The sequence below is a fragment of the Homo sapiens genome, chromosome 12, assembly GCF_000001405.40.
Source record: "Homo sapiens chromosome 12, GRCh38.p14 Primary Assembly".
Taxonomy (NCBI): domain Eukaryota; kingdom Metazoa; phylum Chordata; class Mammalia; order Primates; family Hominidae; genus Homo; species Homo sapiens.
Genome location: NC_000012.12, coordinates 20,112,857 through 20,139,393, shown reverse-complemented (window position 1 = coordinate 20,139,393; position 26,537 = coordinate 20,112,857). Strand labels below are relative to the sequence as shown.

At 37.9% G+C, this 26,537-nt stretch overlaps 1 long non-coding RNA gene across 1 annotated transcript, besides 2 other annotated features; it reads left to right on the top strand.

Annotated features, from left to right (window-relative positions):
- The first annotated feature begins 11,492 nt into the window (after positions 1–11,492).
- LINC02468 (long intergenic non-protein coding RNA 2468) lies at positions 11,493–18,414 on the top strand. Its single transcript, NR_146523.1, has 4 exons — positions 11,493–11,578; positions 13,559–13,655; positions 14,895–14,949; positions 18,236–18,414. It is a non-coding gene; the product is annotated as a long intergenic non-protein coding RNA 2468 (long non-coding RNA).
- Positions 23,592–24,091: an enhancer, noted in NCBI's record as "H3K4me1 hESC enhancer chr12:20268237-20268736 (GRCh37/hg19 assembly coordinates)". NCBI's record gives its function as "activates a minimal SCP1, AML or CMV promoter by ChIP-STARR-seq in naive H9 embryonic stem cells {active_cell/tissue: H9 hESC(naive)}" and the evidence as "EXISTENCE:reporter gene assay evidence [ECO:0000049][PMID:30033119]".
- Positions 24,092–24,593: an enhancer, noted in NCBI's record as "H3K4me1 hESC enhancer chr12:20267735-20268236 (GRCh37/hg19 assembly coordinates)". NCBI's record gives its function as "activates a minimal SCP1, AML or CMV promoter by ChIP-STARR-seq in naive H9 embryonic stem cells {active_cell/tissue: H9 hESC(naive)}" and the evidence as "EXISTENCE:reporter gene assay evidence [ECO:0000049][PMID:30033119]".

Sequence of the window (26,537 nt, the reverse complement as noted above, 5' to 3'; positions counted from 1 at the left end):
GAGCTTTAAATATATAATATGTTTTCATTATACTTTTGCTGTAAAACTGCCACTGTTTCCTGACATTTAAATTTTCTATATAGGCTCAATCAATAGATATGGATATGTTTTCAATCTCTGAGTCACCTAATACCTAAGTGCTCTGAACAGGTGTCAGCTAAGAAACATATAATCCATTTAGTGGAGACCTATAATACTAGTTTTGTTTTCACAGATGGTGTTGGATTATTAAAGTGGAAATAGGCCAAGAAGTTTTAAAAGTACCTTTCCATTTAAGAGAGGGACACGTATTAAGCTGGACCTTGTATTATTTAAAGCTATGGTAAGTAAATTCAGCTCTAATCTTCTCATAGCCCAGTCTGACTAAATCTATTATTTTCTATGTCTCCTAAATTTTAGTTTTCCTGTTACTAATCCCTACATCATACAAATAGTTTCTGGGGAGAAAATATATCATTCACCTTCAGTGTGTTTAGTTCGTAGCCATATCCTTTTATTTTCAGAAGGCAGGTAATGGATACTAAGGTGTTGAAACAGAGTTAGGAAAAACAAATAATGCTAAATCTACCACAGTTTGACCATGCGGAAGTCACTTAATTTATCTTTAACTCAGTTTGGGTATCTGTTAAATAAGGCAATAAGGTTTTGTAAACTACTAAGTTTTTTAGTTTATAGAAGTGTTAAAGTAGTTCAAAACGTGTTACTTTTTGACATATAAATCCAAAGTGTTATCATGATTTACCTAATCATATACAATATCTACTATTGGTCTTTTAGTTAATAAAGGTGACAGTGTTGTGGAGCAGAAAGATTTGGAGTTAATGAATTCAGCTCTTTCACTTAGCTCTGTGATCTTGGGCAATTACACTTGTATGACTTTGGCTGCCTAGAATCTGACCTACCTTTATATTTCTGGAGAATTCCCAATGGTATGTGTTCTGTTGAACAATCTCCTTCTACAGAACCTGAAAAGAGCCAAAACCTACTTGTCTCTCTGTCTCCCACCACCAGCACCAAGAGCGTTGGCACAAAATCTGGGCTTCTCCAAGCAAGTGCTTCCATCTGAGACTCTGAACTTGGATTGAGTAAAACAGGCAAAGAGAGAGTGGAATTCATTTTGTCAATGGGAATTGCAATGGTGGTACTCTTTTGGTCAGGATGGAAGTTCCAGGAGTTTCCATTTGGCTATTTCTCCCACGTGACTTTTATCTTATTGTCAAAATGCCGACTGAGAATTTAGCTGATTGTTGATATATCTATTTCAGCTTTATATTGAGAAACAGAGGGAAAAAAAATGGGATGGATTCAGGGTGTGATTTTTATATCAAAATTATAGTTATCATCTGACATCTCAAAAACTGTCACTCAAAAAAGTGGATTCAACAGTGTTCAAGGTTCCAAACAATTAGTTTTTACCTCAGAGTTAGTGCTGATTAAGTCCAAAAGCAATTTTTTTTGTAATTTTTAGGCTGTCCTAGTCTATAGGGTAGGCTAGAGGAATGTTTACACTAATGACATGAAGCCATACTCTACTGCCCATCCTCAAGCATATTTGGGCTCCCCTCAAGTGATGCTGGATATGTAAAAGTACAGTTATCAGATTACAGTAATTTTCCTCTCTTTATGAGGATACTCTCCAGGCAAATGAATTTATCAGAAAGTACATTGAATGTAATCCTAAAAAAAACTAAATTTTTTAATGTGCTGAAACTTGAATATCTAAAATACATTAAAATCTCAAGCATATGTAAATGCTAAATAAGCAAATACCATTTAATTGAAAGATATTAAATCTGTCATTTTTTATTACCAAAAACTCACTTTGAGGTACATACTGCATCAGACCATTTTACAGTTGGAGAAATAGGCAGCGAGCAGTAGCCTTAGAGGATATTAACTTAGAATTTAAAACTTGTGGGTTTTTTAATTTAAAAATCAATCACTCTATAAATAAAATCCCAAAGGTACCAATACTAAGAAAATATTTTAATTTCTTCCATTTTAGAATATTCAATAAATATTTGATTTCAGAATTAATTTCACTACTTTTGAAACATGTATTTTGAAAGGAAAATAATTAAGATGGATAATACCACATTCAAAATATACTTCATCTATGGATCATATTATGAAGTATCTCTTTAATCTAAAAAATTATTTTAAAAATTTTAACAATTGGGGCTTGGGATGAAACTATGATAATTAACAGAGTGGGTGGCCTAGTGATTGTCAAGTTGACCAATGGAATAGAGTTCAGAAGCCCAGAAACAGAAATATTCAAGTATGGAAATTTGGTATACGCAGAGATGAGAAAAGAAGGGACTCTTTAATAAATGGAGTTAAAAAAACAGTTATCAGTTATGAGAAAAGATAAATTTGACTTGCATATCATGTCATAATTTAAAAAAACTCTGAATTGAATAAGGATTGAAAATGTAAAAACTGGGGAAGGTGGCCAATTAAAAGCAGCTAGTGTGTGCTGCTCTCATGGAGAGAAATAGAAGGAGCAAGTGAATACAGTGCCTTCAACTGAAACATCCAGGTGGATGCATTGGGATTCATCAAGAAAACAATTCAAGCGATGAAGAATGGAGAAACGCAAGGCAGTACAATCATCAAGCCAGAGGAGGCTCCCCAGCCCAGGGAAGTGGTGAGTGAGTGAGCGAGCAACCCCGGACACCCATGCTTCTCCCATGGATCTTTGCACCCCTGTGTCAGGAGATCCCCTCAGGAAACCACTCCACAAGGGCTTGCAATCTGATGCACAGAGCTACAAGGAGTCTTTACAGCAGCCACTTGGGCACACATGAATCCCTGGGAGCTTTGGATAGCCAGGCTTCCCAGCAAAAGTGGCTGCAACTCTGGCAAAGTGGGAGGCTAGGCCCTCATACATACCCCTTGGAAAGCAGCTGATTCCAGAAGGCTGAGCAGTGATGATCTGCAGGCCCCACTTCCGTGACACTTCACAGGACCCGCTGACTTGGAACTCCAGTAAGCCACTGGTAGCAGCATTGCACCTCTCTGAGGGAGCTCCCAGAGTAAGGGGTGGCTGCCATCTTAGCTGTTTCTCAGTTTTAGCTATCGTTGCCTTCGGTGTAGGTGTCCTGTGAAAAAGTGGCCAGACTGTTTTTTATGCAGGTCCATGACCCCCACTCAGTGGGACCTCCTGATGGGTCACCAGCCCTTCTTGCTGGTGTTTTCCAGCTGGCAGTGGTTCTGAGTCTCTCTGAGACGGATGCCCCAGCTGGGGGGATGGACCGCCATCTTTGCTGTCTAACAGCCTTAGCCATTGTTGCCTTCAGGCTCTAGGGAGTCCGAGGAGACCAGGGAATGAAGCGCTCCCCAGCACAGTGCAGCAGTTCTACAGAGAAGCAGCCAGACTGATTTTTCGTGCAAGTCCTTTATGCTGTTTCTCTTTACTGGGCAGAATCTCCAAACCGAGGACGACAACCACCCCCATAGATGTGTTCAGGCAAGCAAATAGGTTCGTACCTCCCTGGGATGGAGGTCCCAGAGAAAAGAGCAGGCTGCCATCTTTGCTGTTTTGCAGGCTTTACTATTGACACCTTCAAGCACAGGAAAACCCAAGGTCACTAGGGACTGAAGTGAACCCTCAGCATACTGCAGCAGCCCTAGGGAAAAGTGGCCAGGCTGGTTGTTATGTGGGTCCCAAATTTTGTATCTTCTTACTGGGCGGGTCTTCCAGGATTGGGTCTCCAGCCACCCCCTGCTGGGACTATTGAGCCAGTAGGAGCTCTACAACTCCCTGGGACAGAGCTCCCAGTGAGAGGGGCAGGTTGCTATCTTTGCTGTCTTGCAGCCCACACCCTTGCTGCCTCCAGGCTCTGGGGAGTCCATGAAGCCCAGGGGCTGGTCTGGATCCCCAGCACAGAGCACCCACCTCACAGAAAAGTGGCCAGACTGTTCTCTGTGCAGGTCCCAGTCCACACTTCTCCTCACTAGGCAGGGCTGCCTGACCTGGGACTTCAGTAAAACTGCCTTGCCCCTGCCTGATTACCTCAATTAGAAACAGCCCAGCAGTTAAAGGAATACCAACATGCAGAGATGAGAAAAAAACAACACAAGAATTCTGGCAACTCAAATGGCCAGAGTGTCTTGTGTCCTCCAAACAACTACGGTAATTCTCCAAAAAGGGTTCTTAACCAGCCTGAGTTGGCTGAAATGACAGAAATAGAATTCAGACTATGGATAGGAATAAAGATCATTGAGATTCAGGAAAATAGCAAAACCCAATCCAAGGAAACTAACAATCAAAATAAGACAAAATAGGAGCTGACAAACAAATAGCCAGTATAAAAAAGGGACCTAACTGATCTAATAGAGCTGAAAAATACAGTACAAAAATTTCACAATGAAATCACAAGTATTAATGCAGAATAGATCAAAAAATGTCAGAACTCGAAGACTGGCTCTCTGAAATAAGACAGACAAAAATAAAAAAGAATAAAAAGCAACGAGGAAAACCTCTGAGAAATATGGAATTGTGTAAGGAGGCCAAATATACAAATTATTGGCATCCCTGAAAGGGACAGGGAAAAAGTGAAAAACTTGGAAAACATATTACGGGATATTGTCATGAGCATTTCCTCAACCTCACTAGAGAGGCCAACAGTCAAATTCAGGAAATACAGAGAACCTCTGTAAGAGATCTACTGTAAAGCACCTATAGTTAACAATACTGTCTTACATACTTAAAATTTTACTAAAACTATAAAGTAGTTCTTAAGTGTTCTCATCACAATGATGGTAGTAGTAATAATAATAAGTGAAGAGGGTGTGAGGGAATTTTGGAGTTAATAGATATCTTTATGACAGATTGCAGTGTCTACTTATATCCAAATTTATGATGTTGTATACATTAAATATATATAGCTTTTTGTATGTCAATTGTACCTCAATAAAGTGGGTTTTTTTAACATATAAAAAAGAAATGCCTGTAGTCCTGGCTACTCAGGAAGGTGAGGCTGGAGGATCACTTGAACCCAAGACTTTGGGTCCAGCCTGGGCAACATGGTGAGATCTCATCTCGAAATTAAAACATAATAATAATAAGACATCACAGTATCAAGGCTAGTCATCTTTTCTGTGGCTTTCATTGTACTGCCTGATGACACACGGGATTATAATGAAATATGAGGTGTCCTAATTGCAGTAACTACATGTAAAATAAAATAGAATGAATTTGGAATGGTAAGAAGGGCAGTAGTTTTTCAGGATGTAAAGAAATGAGAAACAGGAATACGATTGTTGAAACATAAACAGGAAGAATCAACAATATGAGAAACATGCAAGTGAATAGAATTAAAGACCTCTGCCATAGAGTATTCTAATTTAATCTGCATTTGGCAAGCATTTCATGACACAGCTTCATCCACTTTACCACTAAGCTAGCCAAGACAGTGGTCCTCAAATTTTAGCTGAAATCATAATCACCTGGGAACCTGGTCTAACCCTCAGAGCCTCAGGTCTATCCTCTTCAATAAGCCTGCCCCTCTCTGTTCTTTCTGAGTTCTGGTGTTGTGATATGTACTAAAGTTTGAAAGCCAGCTATTCAGAAAATACACAGAGGGAAAACTCATAATGTCACCAATAGCTGTAATTATTCCCCAAAAGATAGAACAGAAAACTATTCTTTTCCCTCGGTGCCCATGCGAATCTGTTTTCTGAGGCTCTTTGGATCATTTTAACAAAACCTAGGTAGATGCCATGTCTCTTCTGATCACTCAGAAAATATAAAGTCCTCTAATCACTTTTAGTTACAAAAAGCTTGATTTCGGTATTCAAAATATTCTGAAGTAATAGTTAAAGCGCCAAACTTCATTTAAAGTTTATCCTCTCCTGGCTCAGGCTAAGGAATAGGTTGCTAGACTGCAGAGTGGAAAGGGCAACGTTTTTGGGTTTGTTTTTTTTTAAGTTTTAGGTGTTTTTTTTCACTGCCTAAAACGTTCACCCCACCTCCCTCTCTCAACAACTGGTTTCAGATCATCTAGATCTGTGGGAGGCATATTAAAAAGCAGTAAGGTCCAAGAAAGTTCTCACTTGACATGCACCAATATGGTCTGGATTTGGTTTCTCCTGATTCTTGGAGCATTTTTTACTTCCTATGGAACCCTGTCACTGGCAATGGAATCTCCTCTCCCACTCTTGCTGTTTAAATACAGCTGAGGTCTCTTCTGCCTGGCCATTTACAACTTCACTCTGATTTTTTGAGGTCCATTACACTCTCCAAGGAGACAATCACCACTCCAAGGTGACTTCAGGTGTGTTTCTCTCTTCCATTTGGCCTTCAGGAGCCTTCCTTCCGAAGACCTTTGGCAACACAGGCTGTTCCTAAGGCAACCAGCCTCCTCTCTGGACAACTGCTGGGCTGGTCAGGGCAGCCTGTGCCTTTAGGCTTTTCTAGCAGCAATTTCTGCTCCATGACCCCAGGCTCACAAAGCAACCTCTTACCCTGAATCCCCTCTTACTCAGCTGGAGGGGAGTTGAAGGAGACATTTCATAGCAGTCCAACTCAAGTAATCTCAACTTAAAGAGATATAATTAAAACTAAATAGCATGAAAAGGTAAACACAAAGCAATTGGCCACAATGTATTAGGTAAAATAAAGAAAAATATAACAATAGCCATATTATTTGAAGAAAGTAGAATTGAAAGTAGCTTTTTTTAACATGAGTAAAAAAAGGGTCATTAAGATAATATGAGGTAAAACTCATAAAATATATCAAAATTCATAAAGCAAAATTCTTGGTATTTAGCAATAATTTGACATAGAATTATTCAATTTTATACATATTTTCTGTCCTTTAAACAATTATACAGAATATATATTAAAAATTAGAATAATGAAATTCAGAATTTTATATATATCAAATTTTGTAAGCATTTAAACAGAGTTAACCAGTGCACATAGTCCTTAAAAAACTATATATATAATAATAAAGTCTATATATAAATAGTATAGTTTTATATATAGTTTATAAAATATGTATTATATATAAAATAAATAATATATATAAAACATATAGTATGTTATATATATTATATTTTATGTATGATATAATGTTTTATTTATTATATAATATTAATCTGCAAAAAAACTAGATAAATTCCAAAGTGTCAAAAATGTGCTACCTATATTCTTTCTCTAGTAAAACTAGATATTTACAAATGAAATACTGAAGAAAGACCCAAGTCAGTTGACAATTTGAAACATTTCTTAAATATTGGAACAAAAATATCAATCTACAATTATAAACTATTCAGGAACTAATGATGATGAGTGACCTCTATTCCAACATTTTCAGGAGATGGTCAAGACAATTTTGTTTTTAATTATGATTTAAAATCATTTAAAATGAATTGTCTTTTATTTCATAATTTAAATCCAAGAATTTGGAAAACAATCCATAGAAATCTAAGGAAATCAGAAAGAAAATATTAATAATTTGGAGTTTTGGGAATACAATTCTAGATAAATCAAAATACCTACCTTTTCATTTATTTATGAAAAAAATTATTGGCTGCTTAATTTGTGCTCAGCATTTTTCTATACATAAAATAGGCAAGATTCACAGGTCTTGTGCTCAAGAAATTTAAATTCAGCAAGGATTTATTATTTATTTACTTCCTTTATGTAACTAGATGGTTAAAATATAAGTGATAAGCTCCCTGATAGTAATAAGTACAGGCAACAGAGAGAAGGTAGCTGGACCCCCTACCAGCCATAATGCAGCAGTGATGGTTTGCTGAGGGACAAGTTACATAAACTAAGTCCTGAGGGTAAACAGCATTATCCATCAGGAAGGAGAGCATTCTCAGCGCAAGGAGAAGAATGTGAAAGGAGAGAAAAGTGAGTATGTTTGGAGAACTAAAGATATTTCAACATTGTTAGATATTAAATGATGAGATGTAGTCTGAGAGAGGTAAGCTTTAACCTATCATAAAAGCTTTATAGAAAATATTAGGCCGGGCGCTGTGGCTCACACCTGTAATCCTAACACTTTGGGTGGCCAAGGCTGGCGGATCACAAGGTCAAGAGATAGAGACCATCCTGGCCCACATGGTGAAACCCCGTCTCTACTAAAAATACAAAAATTAGCTGTGCATGGTGGTGTGCACCTGTAGTCCCAGCTACTCGGGAGGCTGAGGCAGGAGAACTGCTTGAACCTGGGAGGCAGAGATTGCAGTGAACCAAGATTACACCACTGCACTCCAGCCTGGCAACAGGCAACAGAACGACACTCCATCTCAAAAAGAGAGAAAGAGAGAGAGAGAGAAAGAGAGAGAAAAAATATTAAGGAATTTCAACTTCATCCTGAGGAGGTAGAAAGGATTGTGTATAGGAGTGTGACTTGAGAAGATGTATATTTGAAAAATGTTATGAGATGGGAACGATACACAGCCTCTCCTTTTCAGGGTGAGACCCACACTGTCCTAGGAGGAGAAGGAGTTCGGAAGAAGAAAGGAACACTCCAAACCCAAAACACATGTAAAGGGAGCCAGAAACTGAGTACCAAAAAATACTGACTACTAAAAAACAGAAGTGCCAAAAGTGAAGGGTAAAAGTAAAAGCTGCCAGAGAGAAAGGGACAAGAAGAACATAAATCTTGAGTGAAGAGTGGAAGTGCAATACTATAAAATTAACAGAGACTTTATAAATGACTAGAAGTGAGGGAAATTGGCACAGCATCCATTGATAATGACAGGAGAATAATTTCAGCAGAGGGCTGCACCACAATTTCATTAGGTTTCCTTTAGATATCCTGGAATGCTACTTTCTAGAAACTGGCCATCAGTCTTATTCTGTAACTTTAATTCTCCAACCAATTTAAAATGATTATATTCTCATCCCCAAGATGCCTAATGGGCTGAACTGTAATACTTAAAATTCAAGTTTGTCTATGAGATAGTGGTGATTGCTTGGAACTGGTAATAGTGGTTACTCTAAGCAAGGACTTTAAACAAAACAAAAGCTTTATGAGAAATTTCTGGCTTATATCTTTCAAATAGATTATTAATTAATAATACTGGAAGGTTTTAATAAAATCATGCTAATGTCCTTCTCAGCAACAGTGTTATTATAGCATCAACTTATAACCAAAGCAATATATATTAGAAGTGACCAGCTAAAATCAGAAATGTGAATTATGGGAATATATGAAATTGCAACAATAAGTTATTAGAGGTATGATTAATGAAGCATCCGCCATGTGGCAAGTCTCACCCCAGAGCCACTGAGCCCTTCTGAGTTCATCAGTTTGGTTACCAATTATTTCCCAATATCCATTAATGGCAGGCACTAATTTTATTTTTCTCTATAGTATTCTTAAAGTACTCTTAAGGATAAAGTAGAATGGAAGTGAATCATTTGTTCCTGCTGTAATGACTGGCCAACTCAAAACATTAAATGCCAGCTCTGAGTGTTATGATGAATGCCACCTTAAATACATAAAATGAAAAAATTATGTTGACATAATAGATGAAGTCATAATTTGCAGAATTTTAGTAAAATTGGAATTCTAGGATTACATATGCATATGATTAGTTGTTCATTCATTTATTAATTTATTCACTCAATCACCTGTATACCAAATATGTATTAAGTATCTGTTATGTGCCAGGAACCTGTTCCAGGTTCAGAGAATACAGTGAATAAACAGACTGAACCCTGCTCTCAATGAACATCTTCATGTTACTTGATATGAGTTCATTCCTTGAAGTAAGAAAAATTCATTATGAATTGCCTGTTTTAAAGACAGGGCATGTGTACTTTGAAAGATTTAGATAGAGATTGGTTTGTGACATATAGTTTCTCTCTTTCCCAAATATATTTAAAATATTTATTGTCTCTCTTTGACAAAAAAATGAAATCATGGCTCTCTGTTGAAGGCCAAGGAAAAGGATCCATAATATATTTACATTTCCATCCTTGAAAAAGAATTCTAATCACAACAGAAGACTTTTTTTAAATAAGCATTTTAAAGAAATTATAATTTCAAATTTGAAATCTGTCAGCCAAACACTTAATTCATCAGTCATCTGCATATTTCAAGACTCAGTAATCTCCAGATGTGTCTCAATTATACCAATAAAATAAGACTAAGTACATGTCAACCCATGTTTTACAACTTGCATAGCTTACTTCTAATGCCTTTGTTCTGCTTACATATTGTGAGGAAGTGTTTATCTTTTTGCATATTTCTGAGTGATAGCATATAAAGACATACAGTATTTAGGATTTTTACAACTTTTTTACTTACTCATGAAACATTATCACTCATAAATGCAAAAGGCATGCATAATGATAAGGAAACCTCTGTGGTTTTCTTTAAATTCAGAAAGAACTTCATTAAAATTCCCACAATTTTATGACTGTTGCAGTCTAGGCCACATAATTTATTTTTATTTTGTGACTTGCTACAAATAAATTCTTGCTTAGTCCCAGACTTCTCTTAGCTTGATAAAATTTAAGAGCCTCTTTTAAATTTGGATACATTTTGACATCTTCAGTGGGTTTTATATGTACTCAAGTTGTTCTTTCCCTACACAGTTTTCTCGTATTATCGAATAAGCTAAGGAAAAACTGATGTTATTACTATGTTTGGTGAATTTTCAAATTTAGTATTAAATGTGTGCTCTTTTGTAAAAATCTGCTTGTAATTCATGTGTTGAAATGTTTCTTCACCCAACATGGCACATGTATACATATGTAACTAACCTGCATGTTACGCACATGTACCCTAAAACTTAAAGTATAATAAAAATAAATAAATAAATAAAAAGAAATGTTTCTTCATCTTTTACTCTAATTTAATCCACCAATTGATCAATCATTAATTCAACATTTATCTAGCCCCTACTGTGTTCGACACACTACTCTGGTTGCAAAAAATATAAGTGAAGAAAATGAACGAAAATTCCTGCCCTCATAGCACTGTAATGCCCTCTCAATAGTAAACATTTTTTTTTAGAAATGCAACCTTCTAACCACAAAATTTAATTGTGCTCCACTGTCTTCAACCTCTCTTAAAGTTTCAATTATTTATAAGCATAGTTTTTCCAAAAAATAGATTTCAAAATCACAATAACATAAAGCACGTTTCACATCTCTCTTGTTTCCTAAATTTTTCCAGGGCTTACTTTCCAGTTAGAAACACCTTGTGTTATAAATGTCTCTTCTTGTATCTAAAATTTTTGGTAAAACAATTGGCACAAACAACAGAATGCTCGATAGTTTTACCATTGAAAATATGAATACGAATAATTTTTAAAATTTAGTAGTATACTTTAAAATTTCATACGTTGAGAAAATGTAGAAATTGTGGCAGAGGTTGATAGTAGTCCTCCAATGGATATTTTCTCCTTTCTTTGTAATTCAACCTTGCCCTTGTTGGGTTCTTTTTCGTTTCTGCCAGCTAGAACATCAATAAGATGCTGGAGTTTAATCAACCACAGCAGACTGTGAGGTGGAAGCCACTTGGTGATTGTGAGCCAGCACCAAGATCGAAGGCATTTGGATCCCTGGTGATCACAGACCCAGCATGTCATCTCTGCAAAGGTGACATTAGATTCTATTTGAAGAAGAAGACATCCATATTGTTTAAGACGTTGTTATTTGGAGTTTTCTGTCAGTAGCAGGCAAACCTAATTCTAACTAACATAGCCTACAACTTACTTTCACAAATTTAACAATCTATGCTACATCCTGTATAATTCTTACCATCTTGATTATTTACTGAAGATGATGAAATGTTCAGTTATGTCACATGCCTATTATTGGCAACAGCATGATTCACCAACTCTTGGAGATTTTCCTGAAAAATAAAAACACTAGTGTTTGTTATGACCTTATTTGTATATAATCACAGATATATAGAAGTAAACCAAATCAATCTTGAACAAAATAGCGAATAACTGGTGATAATAAAAATATCTATATGGAGAGAGACACAGCTAAAAAGGTAAGAGGAAGCCCCACCAATACCAGCTAAGCACGGGGAAGGCAATGCTGGAGTATTTAATTGAGTCATTTCAAGTTGTGTATATGACTTTTACTTGCTTTTATCAAATACAATGTTTATTTCATTTAACCACAGTAAAACGAAAACTGTGACTTGTGTTTCACAGTGAGTATAACTGATTTAATGGAATTGTTGCAGTTCTATCACTTTTCTGAGTTAAAGTTTGCCTCCCCTAACTATTCTGGAAAATAAAAATTCACATATTCTCTGTTCTTTTTTTCCTTCCTCTACTTAATTCTATCTTATGCATGACATTTTACAGAAGGCTCATCTTCATTTTCTAATCAAGATGGCATATATTAAAAATCAGATCCATCATGTGTCATGCAACTATCATACGACACTGATTATTTTTCCAAATTCCAATGATTTACAACTGCCGTTTAATTGCCTGAGAGCATTTTAATCCAGGGTAGTTAACATTACTTGAACTGCTACATCATTTAATTGTAACATTATAGGTTTACAAGCAAAAGCAAGCCTTGAACTAGAGACAGCAAGTCTACGAAAAAAAAAAATCCAAGAGAAACCATCAAGTTTTAAAAGTTGATGTCAGAAATATCTCATTTAGTTCAAATAAACTACTGCGAAATAACACACTTTAAAACATGTAAATAAAGAGCTAAGTACCTAAAAGTAAAAAATAATATCTAGATGAAAGAGATAATTTATGTGTTGGATAGTGAGACTGGGCGTAAAAAGTCTGGTTCCCAAACATTTATGAAATATTTACACCATTCCTCAGGAAATAGCTAGAATATAAACAAAGTACCCTTCCTAGAAGAGCTTCAAAAATCATTTTTATAGTGGCAATTAATTTAATTCCTGAAACTCTGAGGAAATTACAAATCTATTGTGAATGTTTATGGTACTTGATAAATCAAGACCAGAAATGTTATCATCATTAACAATCATCAATAATTACAAAACTATTCAAGAGAGTCACATAAGAAAAAAATACTTTTAGCTGAGATGCAACTGAGCAAAAGTATGTTTCAAATTGTTTTTTAGCATGATACACAGAAGTCCAAGTTACATTTTAAAATTTTTGATTCTACTACACACAATTTTAATAGATTTTAATACATTACTAAACCAGAATAGCAAATGCTATACCCTGGTATCACACCAGCTAAAAAAAAATATGATCAGAAATTCACTTATTTCATAAATATAAAAGTGTGAAAATTTATGGACTTTCTTTTTTTATAATTTTAAGTAAGTTTTAAAAATGTTAGCATCTCTGTGTTCCCCACTGCAGCACAGAGAAGCACTATGGTATTGCGATTAAGAGTGGTTAATCAAACTGTCCTGGGTTCAAATCCAGGTTCTGTGCCATCTGTGTAATCTTGAATAAATTACTCATCTCCACTTGCCTCAGTTGTAAAAATAAGAATAACATTTATCTCATAAGATCATGTAAGGAATAGCTTGCAAAGCTCAGAGCTTCAAGTAAGAAGTGGGCATAAAAATCCAATTCTGGCCTCATTTACTCTCATTTATTTACTCTTTTTTAGGTCTTTGAGCAGGAGCCCAAGGAAGGAAAAATAAGGACACACATTTTTGGCTGGATTAGTAACATCTTTCCTTTGTCTTCATCCACCAGTGTTCTTGGTACACTGAAATGTAACAAGAAATTTGAAAAATCTTATTTTCCATGTCAGAAGCTATTACATCATTCCATTTGCAATAACATACTTTAATCTTCTCCAGGTTTCATAAATTCTTGGGACAACTATAATAAATGTTATTTGCTTGGAAAGCTAAAGAAGAATGCATAGTTAAATTTTTCAAAGTATGACCCCCATTACACTAATACTGAAGGAGAAGCTAAGTGGTTGAATTGGAAGGATAGGCGATAATATTGCTATGCTTCTGAAAGAGTACCCATTCAGGAAATATTAGGAAATCTTAGTATTTGGATCCAAAGCCCTTGCCAAGAGACCTTGGCAGATGCAGCGAAGCAGTCCTTTATTAGATGTGTCAGTCTCAGCTGCACACATATCTTTGTAGTTAAGATATAAATGCTCCTCCTCTAGTCACAATGGAGATAAGTGCTGAAAAACCTCTAGAGACAGGCTATTTAACAACTAGTGAGATTCCTTGGACTACCCATGTAGAATCTCCTTCGTTTCATTGAGGTTTCCTCCCAATATACTCAGATAATTGATTTTTTTGATTTTTTAAATTAATTCCACATTAGATTCTGTATTACTATGAACCACACTACCGTTTATGGATAATTAACATCTGGTTGCAAACAACGGTCTCATTGTTTTAACCTCATGTGGGCTTACAGGATTAATGGAAAGTTCACTGAAACCAACACTTCCTTATTCTGTTTAAGGATTATCAAAGATTTATGAATTCATTTTATAAAATTTCCATCCTTAACCATACTTTTTAAACACCTTCTAAAAATCAATTACCTCATTTTCAATTAATTAAGCCAATTAAACTATGAAAAATGTTCACGTGATGATGGCTCCCCAGTTAACACATTTCAAGAAGCTGTTTTGCCTTTCACATATCTTCTGTTACATGCCAAGTACTAATCTCTACCCCGATCCTCTCTATATTAATCCTAATTTTTAAAGGTAGAGACCCATACATTACATCTTAATATGTATTTTTTACATTTAAATTGTAGTCAAGCTTTTTAAAAATTATATCATAGTAAAATGCCTATTTTGCCATTGAAACAGTTGCAATATGACATTAACGTATGAAAGCATCCTTATGAACCCCACAAATATGTACAATTATTTGTCACTTTAAAAAAGTAAAGAAAAAAAGAGCACTTAGCGTTTCAGCAAATCAAGTCTTGTAAGTAATGCTAATATTGTCTTCTAGCTTCCCAGAAAGTGTGGAATATTGGCCTTCCTTTTCAGATTCATGTGAAAGCTTGGTAAGTATTACTCTTAGATAAAAGAGATAGATGAGTGTTCTAAGCTCATCTTTTTGCTCCCAACTCTGGAGAGATAATGATGCCTACTTACGCTCAGATGCACTGGGTCATATACCTTCACCAGATCACAAAACCCAGGTCAGATACATATGTGTGATGGTGTGTCACTTTCTACCTAGATGAAGGCTATCATTCCATCAGCCTTCAGTGTGTTTCTTCTAGGGGCATAAAAGGTAAGATGGCAAGGATGCCTAATGCTGAACACTAAGTGGACAAGTGACCTCCAGCAGGTTAGAGTAGCATAAAAGAAGGCTGAGTTAGTCGTGAAAGGAGCTAGAAGCCAACAATATTTATTTCCTAGCTATGTTACTCTCCTAGCCTCAATTTACTCTTACATAAACAGAGTAAAATCAACATGAGTGACCCACTAGAGCAGAAGAGGGTGAAATATATAGGAGGGCAATGATTTAGACCAGGCAGAAGAATGGGCTTGAAGAAGTCTTTCCCAGAGTAGTTGATGCTTTAAGAGAGGTATAGGACTCACCTGGGTGAAGAAGATTTTGAAAGAAAGGTGGCTTAGACAGAAGGGATAGTGAATGAGCAAGGTTATTGTGAGGATTCATGAGATAATCAAAACATTTATCCCACATTGTGCTTGGTCCTTAACTGTTAATACGTTCGCTCTTTAGTCCAACAAGGCAGATGTTGCCTAATCCAACAAGAAAATGTTTGCTTTTGGCAAATGTGCTGCCAGCGGCATTCTTAGCACTCAACAGCAGAGCACCTTAGAACTATGGAAAGGCATGTCAAAGCCACTGCACTAGTGTATGACTTCTGCCATTGCACAGAGCCCTGCACTTAGGAGGTTTCTAAGCTTGTTAACGCTATGCTGTTGCTGTCTTAAAATTCTTAATAATTTTGAACAAAGCACTCACATTTTCATTTTTCACTGGGCCCCACAAATTACATAGCCAGTCCTATTTGTGCTATCAGATAATCCCAATTTGTGTAAATCAGATGGATTGACATTCTGGTTTTCTTACTTCCTAGCTTCATGAACTTCTAGGAGCTTTAACGATAGAAATATCAAAATTTTTTTACTCATTTGTGACGATCAAACATATTTTGATTATAAAACTAATTTTTATTTTATAAAACATTACAGAAACAGAGAGAACAGTATTCAGTCAGCTACTGAGATCCTTGTTTATTTTTAAAAAATTCACTATTTGGAATGATTTCAAATATCTGGAAATTAGTACATGCCTATTGCCATTTCCTCTCTCTTCTTCTCCTTCTCTTTTTCTCTGTTCCTGTTCTCTCCTTTACAACTGAGCTTATAGTATATGGTAAATACTGTACTGAGTGCCAAAAACACAGATCCAAGCAGACACAGTCTCTTCTCTTGAGGAGCTTATACTTACATAGAAGAAATAGAAACAGAAAATGACAAGGTTGGTGAAGTAATAGAAGTGTAATAGGCATTTCACAGAAAAAGCACAGGGTGCAATAAGAATACACAAGAGAGCAGTAGCTAAGATTTGGGGAGGTGATGTGAGTGGAAGTGGCTCTGGGAAGTCTTTCCCAAGAAAGTTGATAATTCAAGAAAGGGACAGGATTTAGATGAAGGAAGGAGGCATTGGAAGGAAGGTGTTTTAGGCAAAAGAGAAATTGTATGTGCAGTCATAAAAGCTTGAAACACATGTTTCTTATGAGAAAGCACAAGTAGTTCTATTTATTTGTGTCAGAGATGCATGTGGAAGAGTGAAGAATGAGGAGGCTGGAAAGGGAAATAGGCAAAGGCCAGATCCACGGGTATTATAAGGGGTAAACCAGAGTTCTAAATTCACCCTGAATGTTCCTTGAAAATTATGAAAAGGTAATGAAAGTAGAGAGATGATATGGCTAGATAACAGTGTAGAGATGAATGATAATGCAACTTAGACAAGAAATATTTGTGGAAGAACAGCGGACTCTAGTGATACTATAGAGTGGAAATTCAGAGCAAGCTTCAGGCCCTCTAGAAATATTTTATGGAGCAACTATTATGGAGCAAGTACTTTGTTATGTTCAGAGAACACAGAGATAACTAAGATAGATCCCCTCTTCTCCAGAAGGGTCGAATGCAACGTAGTGAGTGCAGTGAGCATGCTATACCCATAATATTGAACGGAAAAGGGGCCCCCAAACTTCCTAAAGGACACAGAGAGTCTTTTGCAAAAGAACTGACACTAAGTCTCAGAGGAATGTCCTGAATCGAGACTTAAAAGATTAAAGGAATTAATCAGACACAGGATGAGGTAATTAGAAAGGAGGAAATATTCTAGGCAAAGAAAGTAACATAAGCAAAGAAAAAGAAATGAGAACTTATATAGACAGTGCAGAGTCCAGGGGAGAGGTGGATAAGAGACTGAACTGGAACAGTAATTGTAGAGATGACGACTAAAAAGGAAAGCCAGATTTATGGAATGTTTAGGAAGCATTAGCATGACTTTGTCATTGTTTGGATGTGAGAAGTGATGGAGGTGGAGGAATGAGAGGAGATTTCTTTTCCACCTTGCCTTTTTTACCCCTTAAGTGCCAAAAACCACAGACAATTTCCCAAGCTATTAATTCTAGCTAAGTGTTTTTCCTCCTCAGGCTATGTTTTAGGAGGACAGTCTGTGGTATAAATCTACAATCAATGTAAATTAATATAACTACAGTCACACTACTTACTGATTCCAAAACAGATATACTTGGAATCCCAGCACAAACTCGTTTTTTCAAATATAGCTCCAGACACACTCATGGTCAACATGTCCCCCTGTCAAACAACAACTACTTACCATCAACTTAATACATCATATACAAGGTGTAAAGATATCTCCTTTCTCAAATCAAATTCAAGTGGTTCCACTGTAGAATCACAGAATTTCAGGTTGGAAGGCATCTTAATAGTTATAGAATCCAAATATTTGGGACACTCTGCAATTTGAATTTTGTATTCACAGTTTTCATGAGGTCAACAGGCTAGAGAGCAAGACAACTTACCACTTGCTTTCATAAGTTTTTCTTTAAGTCCTACGTCTGAGAAATAAAATGATTTGAGAACCTGAGAACAATAAAATATGACTACTGATTTCATAGCCCCATGTACTTTCAAATTCACTTTCCTATGTTGTCAAAGCAAGGTTGATTTTTTTTCTCTCCTCATTTAAATGTTTCTCATGCTTTTTGGTGTAAGAATTATATTAAAATGAAATTAGTCACTGCTTGTTTTTATTTTGCCTGGTTTCTTTGACAGGAGAAAAGAACACAGACTAAAAGGAATATAAATCCAAAAGAATGAGTGAAATGGGAATACACAAGGCATGAGCAATAAGACTGTTCTCTCAGAAACAATGAGAATAACTGCTCTACATCTTACAAACCAGAAACTTACACGTTGTATCTCATTAAATTTTATTTTGAATATTGAGAACATTCAGTGCGTGGATAATATTTAAAAGTCATAACTCCGGAGGTAGAACCAGTTGATGAATAAAAAAAAACTTCTAGTCAAAACATAATTTATCTATTATGTACAGGACAGGCCAAAACCTTGTTTTGCCTCCTGGAAAATTATTTACAAGAAAATGATTGCTTAGAATGTTCCTTCTTAAGGAGGTCCCCCAAATCTCTAAATATAGATGGTTACATAAACTAATTCAACCTAGAAAACAAGCACACCCCCTACTTATGTATATACATGTCTTACCAGATTTATAACCTATAGTATCTGGAGCAAGGAAAAAGGATTTACATATTGAAACAAAAGGAAAAGTATAATTTTTTTATTATTTGATAAGGCAGTCATAAATTTCTGACATAAACACATGATTATAAATGGAAGGTGTCTTTCTAATGTATCATACTAGATATGCTATAAGCTCTGAAACATGAGATCAATCCATGACTAATGGCCAGATAAAAGTCATGACTGAATAAATGGGATAACAGCCAAGGAACAGATTCCTGTGAATAAATAATAATCAAATGCCACACATATAGCTTAATTAACACTGCCCTTTACTTATTTTTAAAAATCTTGCATTCATTCAGTGACTATTTGAAGATGTACTATATGGTAGACTTTACTCAATTTGTAGCAAGTTAATGATCATAAATAGGTGATGAAATCTAATCTCTTCCCTAAAAGATTTTCGTCTCATTCACTGCTGATCTTGTGTGCTTTTTTGTTGTTGCTGAAATTGATAAATGTTCACCACATTCAGTAATACTTTCCAGACTTCCAGACAAATGAATTCATAACATACACATTCGCTTCCCGTTAAATACACAAGTTTTATAGTTTTTGTTTCCAGAGAATCCAGACTAAGTTTATTTTTAAGAAGAATTAATGAAATAAGAAAATGATTGCTTCACTGAGTAGTCTAGACTCAAAGCCACCGTTGGTCTAGATAGTAACTTCAGTGACGCACTTCTTTTTTCCTCAGGGACCTGTTCCAATTAAAATGAATCTACTCTCCTGTAAAGCTGTTTTTATCTGGCTACCACGGACTTAATGAGAACTTCAACACCTTCTCCTGACAGGTTCTGATAGGCTTTCAGGACAAATTCCTTCATTTTTGCTATTTTATTTTATTTTATTTTTATTTCTGTTTATTTATTTATATTTATTTATTTATTTATTTATTTATTTATTTTTGAGACGGAATCTCGCTCTGTCACCCAGGCTGGAGTGCAGTGACACGATCTCTGCTCATTGCAACCCCTGCCTCCCAGGTTCAAGAGATTCTCCTGCCTCAGCCTCCCCAGTAGCTGGGATTATAGGCGTGCACCACCACGCCCAGCTAATTTTTTGTATTTTTGGTAGAGATGGGGTTTCGTCATGTTGGCCAAGCTAGTCTAAAACTCCTGACCTCAGGTGATCCACCTGCCTCAGCCTCCCAAAGTGCTGGGATTACAGGGATGAGCCACTGCGCCCGGCCAATTTTTGCTATTTTAAATATCGACTTTGCAATAACTTTTCCTAATATTTTTAAAGAGATGGTCTTATTTCCTTTTATCTTTTCTACTATAGTTTCCTGGAAAAGGGAAAACTTTTTTAGGAATGGAAATTTGTGATTTCTTTTCGTTGTTCTGAGCATATATCTGTTTTTTGTTCATCTGCTTTACTTGCACTTGAGGGCAATGATCTTATTTATGGTTGTATTTTGCATTATAACAAAAAATATTTTTAAACCATAATTCATCAGTTTAGTATGCCTCTGCAGATTATGCAGATTAATATAGACATGTTTATATTATACCAATCTACTAATATTAATGTAGACAGTAGTGATTTTATAATGTTCCAAATAGCTAATTAATTAAGGTTTTCTAGGATTGACACTCTGGAATTGAATTTCTCTAAATATTAGTCTACAGAGAATGCTTATGAAATTAGACTGTGGACATATACAAACAAGTGTTAAGGGCTCAATAAAAGAATCTTATTAACCTCAATTCTTCTCTAATTATTCAATGTTCCATTAGGTAACTTGATAACTGTATCTATTCCTTAAAATGCTGAATTGATGTCTCTCTCAATTTGACTCAATGTGTTCAACAACTTTCCCAAGGTGACACAGCCAACAACAACCTAGAAATGGATTAAGATCTGTATAACTGAAAAGCTTGCACGTTCCACATGAGACAGAATTCCATCAACACACTGTCCCTGCCTCCCCCATATCCTACTGCTTTTCTTATATTTCTATATAAGTGACGAGCAACCTAATCTACTAAGTCACTCAAGTCAGAAAACCAAAAGTCATCTCTAATGGAATGGATGTTTGTGACTCTCAAAACTCATGTTGGAATTTAATCCTTCATACAGTGCTATTTGGAAAGTAATGAGGTCATGAGGGCGGACCTTTATGGGTGGGATAGGTGTCCATATATAAGGGACCCCAGAAAGCTCTCTCACTCTCTCCACCATGTGAGGATACAATGAGAATAGGGCAGTCTGCAACCCTCGCCAGAAGCCAACCACGCTGGCACTCTGATCTTAGACTTCAATCTCCAGAACTGTAACAAATGAATTTTGTTGTTTATAAGGTACCTAGTCCATGGTACACTGTTAAAGCAGCCTGAACTGACTAAGACACCATCTGAGACTGCTCTCTCTCCCTCAGAGGACATTTATAATTAGGCCCTCAGAAGAGCTGAGTTTACTTTTTTGACATTCCTGGTGCCTGACCCTTTATTTCCATTTCTTCTTCCACCATGTTAGATAAAGTCTTCATGCTTTTCCCCAATTGAAGTTCTCCTCTTCCCCTCCATCATCAATCTTCTATACATTCCTATAATGTCTGGAAATTAAATAACAGGTGTTCAAAAACTATTTTATTAATGGATGAGTGTGTAGAGCAATTCCACTATTCCAGGTAGGTACTTCAGGAGCTAGAATTCCACATAACTGAAATGAGGCAACATAGGCTCAAATCAACTAACCCTTACCAATCCTCCCATCATAAATCTTCCTTAACATAGACAAACTTTCTAAAAGGAAAAACTAACTTCATGTACACACACACACACACACACACACACACACACACACAATTCTTGAGTGACACCTCACAAGATAAATTTCAATTTCATTTAGCATGTGACATATTGTTCCCTGTGATCCAAGCCCTTCTAGCTCTTCCTGGCATTCCACACCTGTACCTTATTCTCCAGTTATGGTTAACCACTCAGTCTTCCATGAACATGTCAAGGGTTTTCTTGTTTCTACAACTTTGTTCAGCTACTTAAATTATCCTAATGTATTTTGCTTTCCCCAATTTCATCATGTCAAATGGTGTCTCCTTGGTGATGCCCTCTGTTAGTTTCTCTTATGGAGATATTGTGACAATGTGAACGACTGACCAACATTAATGTCACCCCAAATAATTGGTTTAAATCAGGATAATCTCATTCTTCTATTCTATACAGATTCAGAATGGTGCAACACGCAACTCTAGCCTACATCCTCTGTTACTTTGTATGTTTGACATCTATTACAAAACTTTAGTTTCTTTAGTGGCAAGAAATCTATCACTTAACTTTGTAATGGTCATATATATAACTCATCTAGTAGATACAATCATATATGTAATCATTTATATTGTAGGTATTGTCATTTAGAAAGCAGAATTATATTTGCATTTGTGATGGCTAATATTGAGTGTCAACTTGATCGGATTACAACAGCAAAGTATTGTTCATGGGTGTGTCTGTGAGCAAGTCACCAAAGGAGATTAACATTTGAAAACTGGGAGTTGCAGATTCACCCTTAATCTGGGTGGGCACCATCTAGCGCAGGTACGATGATAGCAGGCAGAGGAATGTGGAAAGACTGGACTGGCTTAGTCTTCCGGGCTACATCTTTCTCCTGTGCTGGATGCTTCCTGCCCTTGAACATCAGAATCCAAGTTCTTCAGCTTTGGGACTCTCCGACCTTCGACCATAAACTGAAGGCTGCACTGTTGGCTTCCCTACTTTTGAGATTTTAGGACTTGGACTGGCTTCCTTGCTTCTCAGCTTGCAGACAGCCTATTGTGGGACCTCATCTTGTGATCATGAGAGTCAATACTCCTTAATAAATTTCCCTTTATAAATACCTATCCTATTCTTACACTGACAAAGCCATCAAAATGGGAAGGAGAGGGGAGAACAGCAGCATAAGCGGCTGGCAGAGGTAGGGAAAGACCAGCAAGAAGAAGAGAGAGAAAGAGAAAGTCAGAGAAAGAGACAGAGAGAGGAAGAGACAAAGAGACAGAAAGTCAAAGAGGGAGTCAGAAACAGAGACAAAGAAAAGGAGTCAGAGAGAAAGAGGGACGGACACAGAAAGTCAAAGAAAAAGTTAAGAAGAGAGGAAAAGACAAAGAAGAAGTCCAAGAGAGAAAGAGAGAGATGGAAGTAGTAAAGAAAAAACAGTGTACCCCATTCCTTTAAAAGCCAGGGTAAATGTCTATCTACCCAGTCAAGGCATATTCTACTTATGTGGATCTTCAACCCATATCGGCCTCTCAAACAGTTTGCAAGAAATAATGAGATCTATCCTTACTTTACAATCCCAAATAGACTCTTTGGCAGCAGTGACTCTCCAAAACCGCTGAGGCCTAGACCTCCTCACTGCTGAGAAAGGAGGACTCTGCACCTTCTTCGGGGAAAAGTGTTGTTTTTACACTAACCAGTCAGGGATAATATGAGATGCCACCTGGTGTTTACAGGAAAAAGCTTCTGGAATCAGACAACGCCTTTCAAATTCTTATACCAACCTCTGGAGTTGGGCAACATGGCTTCTCCCCTTTCTAGGTCCTGTGGCACCCATCTTGCTGTTACTCGCCTTTGGGCCCTGTATTTTTAACCTTCTTGTCAAATTTGTTTCCTCTAGAATCAAGGCCATCAAACTACAGATGGTCTTACAAATGGAACCCCAAATGAGTTCAACTAACAACTTCTACCGAGGACCCCTGGACCGACCCACTGGCACTTCACCTGGCCTAAAGAGTTCCCCTCTAAAGGACACCACAACTGCAGGGCCCCTTCTTCGCCCCTATCCAGCAGGAAGTAGCTAGAGTGGTCATCAGCCAAATTCCCAACAGCAGTTGGGGTGTCCTGTTTAGAGGGGGGATTGAGAGGTGACAGCGTGCTGGCAGTCCTCACAGCCCTCGCTCACTCTCGGCGCCTCCTCTGCCTGGGTTCCCAGTTTGGCGGCACTTGAGAGCCCTTCGGCCCGCCGCTGCACTGTGGGAGCCCCTTTCTGGGCTGGCCAAGGCCAGAGCCGGCTCCCTCAGCTTGCAGGGAGGTGTGGAGGGAGAGGCGCGAGCAGGAACTGGGGCTGTGCGCAGTGCTTGTGGGCCAGCTGGAGTTCTGGGTGGGCGTGGGCTTGGCGGGCCCCGCACTCGGAGCGGCCGGCCAGCCCTGCGGGCCCTGGGCAGTGAGGGGCTTAGCACCCGGGCCAGTGGCTGCGGAGGGTGTACTGGGTCCCCCAGCAGTGCCAGCCCACCGGCGCTGCGCTCGATTTCTCGCCAGGCCTTAGCTGCCTTCCCATGGGGCAGGGCTCGGGACTGCAGCCAGCCATGACTGAGCCTTCCCCTGCCTCCGTGGGTTCCTGTGCAACCCGAGCCTCCCCGACGAGCACCGTCCCCTGCTCCACGGCACCCAATCCCATGGACCACCCAAGGGCTGAGGAATGTGAGCGCACGGCGCAGGACTGGCAGGCAGCTCCACCTGCAGCCCCGGTGCGGGATCCACTAGGTGAAGCCAGCTGGGCTCCTGAGTCTGGTGGGGACATGGAGAGTCTTTATATGTAGCTCAGGGATTGTAAATACACCAATCAGCACCCTGTGTTTAGCTCAAGGTTTGTGAGTGCACCAATCAACACTCTGTATCTAGCTGCTCTGGTGGGGCCTTGGAGAACCTTTATGTCTAGCTCAGGGATTGTAAATACACCAATCGGCACTCTGTATCTAGCTCAAGGTTTGTAAACACACCAATCAGCACCCTGTGTTTAGCTCAAGGTTTGTGAATGCACCAATCGACACTCTGTATCTAGCTGCTCTGGTGAGGCCTTGGAGAACCTGTGTGTTGAAACTCTGTATCTAACTAATCTGATGGGGATGTGGAGAACCTTTGTATCTAGCTCAGGGATTGTAAACTCACCAATCAGCACCCTGACAAAACAGGCCACTCGGCTCTACCAATCAGCAGGATGTGGGTGGGGCCAGATAAGAGAATAAAAGCAGGCTGCCCGAGCCAGCATTGGCAACCTGCTCGGGTCCCCTTCCACACTGTGGAAGCTTTGTTCTTTTGCTCTTTGCAATAAATCTTGCTACTGCTCACTCTTTGGGTCCATGCTGCTTTTATGAGCTGTAACACTCACCACGAAGATCTGCAGCTTTACTCCTGAGCCCAGCGAGACCACGAGCCCACCGGAAGGAACGAACAACTCCAGACGCGCTGCCTTAAGAGCTGTAACACTCACCAGGAAGGTCTGCAGCTTCACTCCTGAGCCAGCGAGACCACGAACCCACCAGAAGGAAGAAACTCCGAACACATCTGAACATCAGAAGGGACAGACTCCAGACGCGCCACCTTAAGAGCTGTAACACTCACTGCAAGGGTCCGCAGCTTCATTCTTGAAGTCAGTGAGACCAAGAACCCACAAATTCCGGACACACTATTAGTTCTGTCCCTCTAGAGAACCCTGACTAATACAGACTGTCACGTAGGAGACTTAATCTTAGTTGCAACTGTCATAGAGTAGGCATTTAAATGTTGACATAGTAAATTGATATTTAAAAGTAGTGTTTATATGATAATTTAAATAAAGATGTGACTTAATTTGAACGTTTATCAGCATAATGCATTTTTGCCACTCTATTACTATAGTTGATGTATTAGTCTGTTCTCACACTGCTATAAAGAAATACCTGAGACTAGGTAATTTATAACGAAAAGAGGCTTAATTGGCTCACGGTTCCGTAGGCTGTACAGGAAGCATGACACTTAGGGAGGCCTTAGGAAACTTTCAATCATGACAGAAGGTGAAGGAGAAGCAGGCATGTCTTACATGGTCAGAGCAGAAGGAAGAGAGAGGTGGGGAGATGCCACACACTTTTGAACAACCAGATCTCATGAAAGCTATACCATGAGACGGATGGTGCTAAACCATTGGAAACCACCCCCAAGATCCAATCACCTCCTACCAGGCCCCACCTTCAGTATTGGGGATTACATTTCAACATGGAATTTGGGTGAAGACAGATCCAAACCATATCAGTTGGTGTTTTTTCTTAGAGATTTCATCCAATATTTTCAGATTCTTTAGACTGTTTATGGTAAACTTTTTATATTTCAGATAGCCCTGTCCTTAAAAAGATGTGCTACAATGTATGCCATTATACTCTTTTCTTTTTTCTTGAGATTCTATAATTGAATCTGATTTTGTCATGTTTCCTCAATACATTCTTAAAACAGTTGATCTGACCATACGTTGCCCCATTGCAGTTATATGGAATTCCAGCTCCTACAGTACCTACCTGGAATAGCAGTACTCCTCCAAACACTCATTCATGCAAAAAAATAGTTTTTGAACACCCATTTTAAAATTTCTAGACATTATAGGAATGTATAGGTGGCATTTTGGTTCTCAGTTTCTCACAGTATAAGATATAGGAAAGAAATAGAGCAATTTGGCATTAGAAAGCTGTTATTGAAACACCAGGGGTTTGGCCTAGGTCCTGCTGCTCACTACACAGAAAGCGAATCACTGAGGCAATGAGTGTTGCTAGGGAAGAAGGGTTTAATTGGGTGCTGCAGCTGAGGAGATGAAAGATCAGTCTCCATTCCCTGACCAAATAAAATTGGGGGTTTATGTAGTAGGGAAGAAATGTAACTCTTTGTGGGAAAACAGGAACTAGGCAGGAAGCAATCATGATGAGTGAGGAGCTTGGCCTCTCATGGTCTGGATGTGAGGACCTGGTGAGTTTCAGTTCTTTGATACGTTTTGAGAGATCTAGTAGTCCTTTCCTGAGGAAGGAACTCAGATAAAACAAATGTAAATTTCA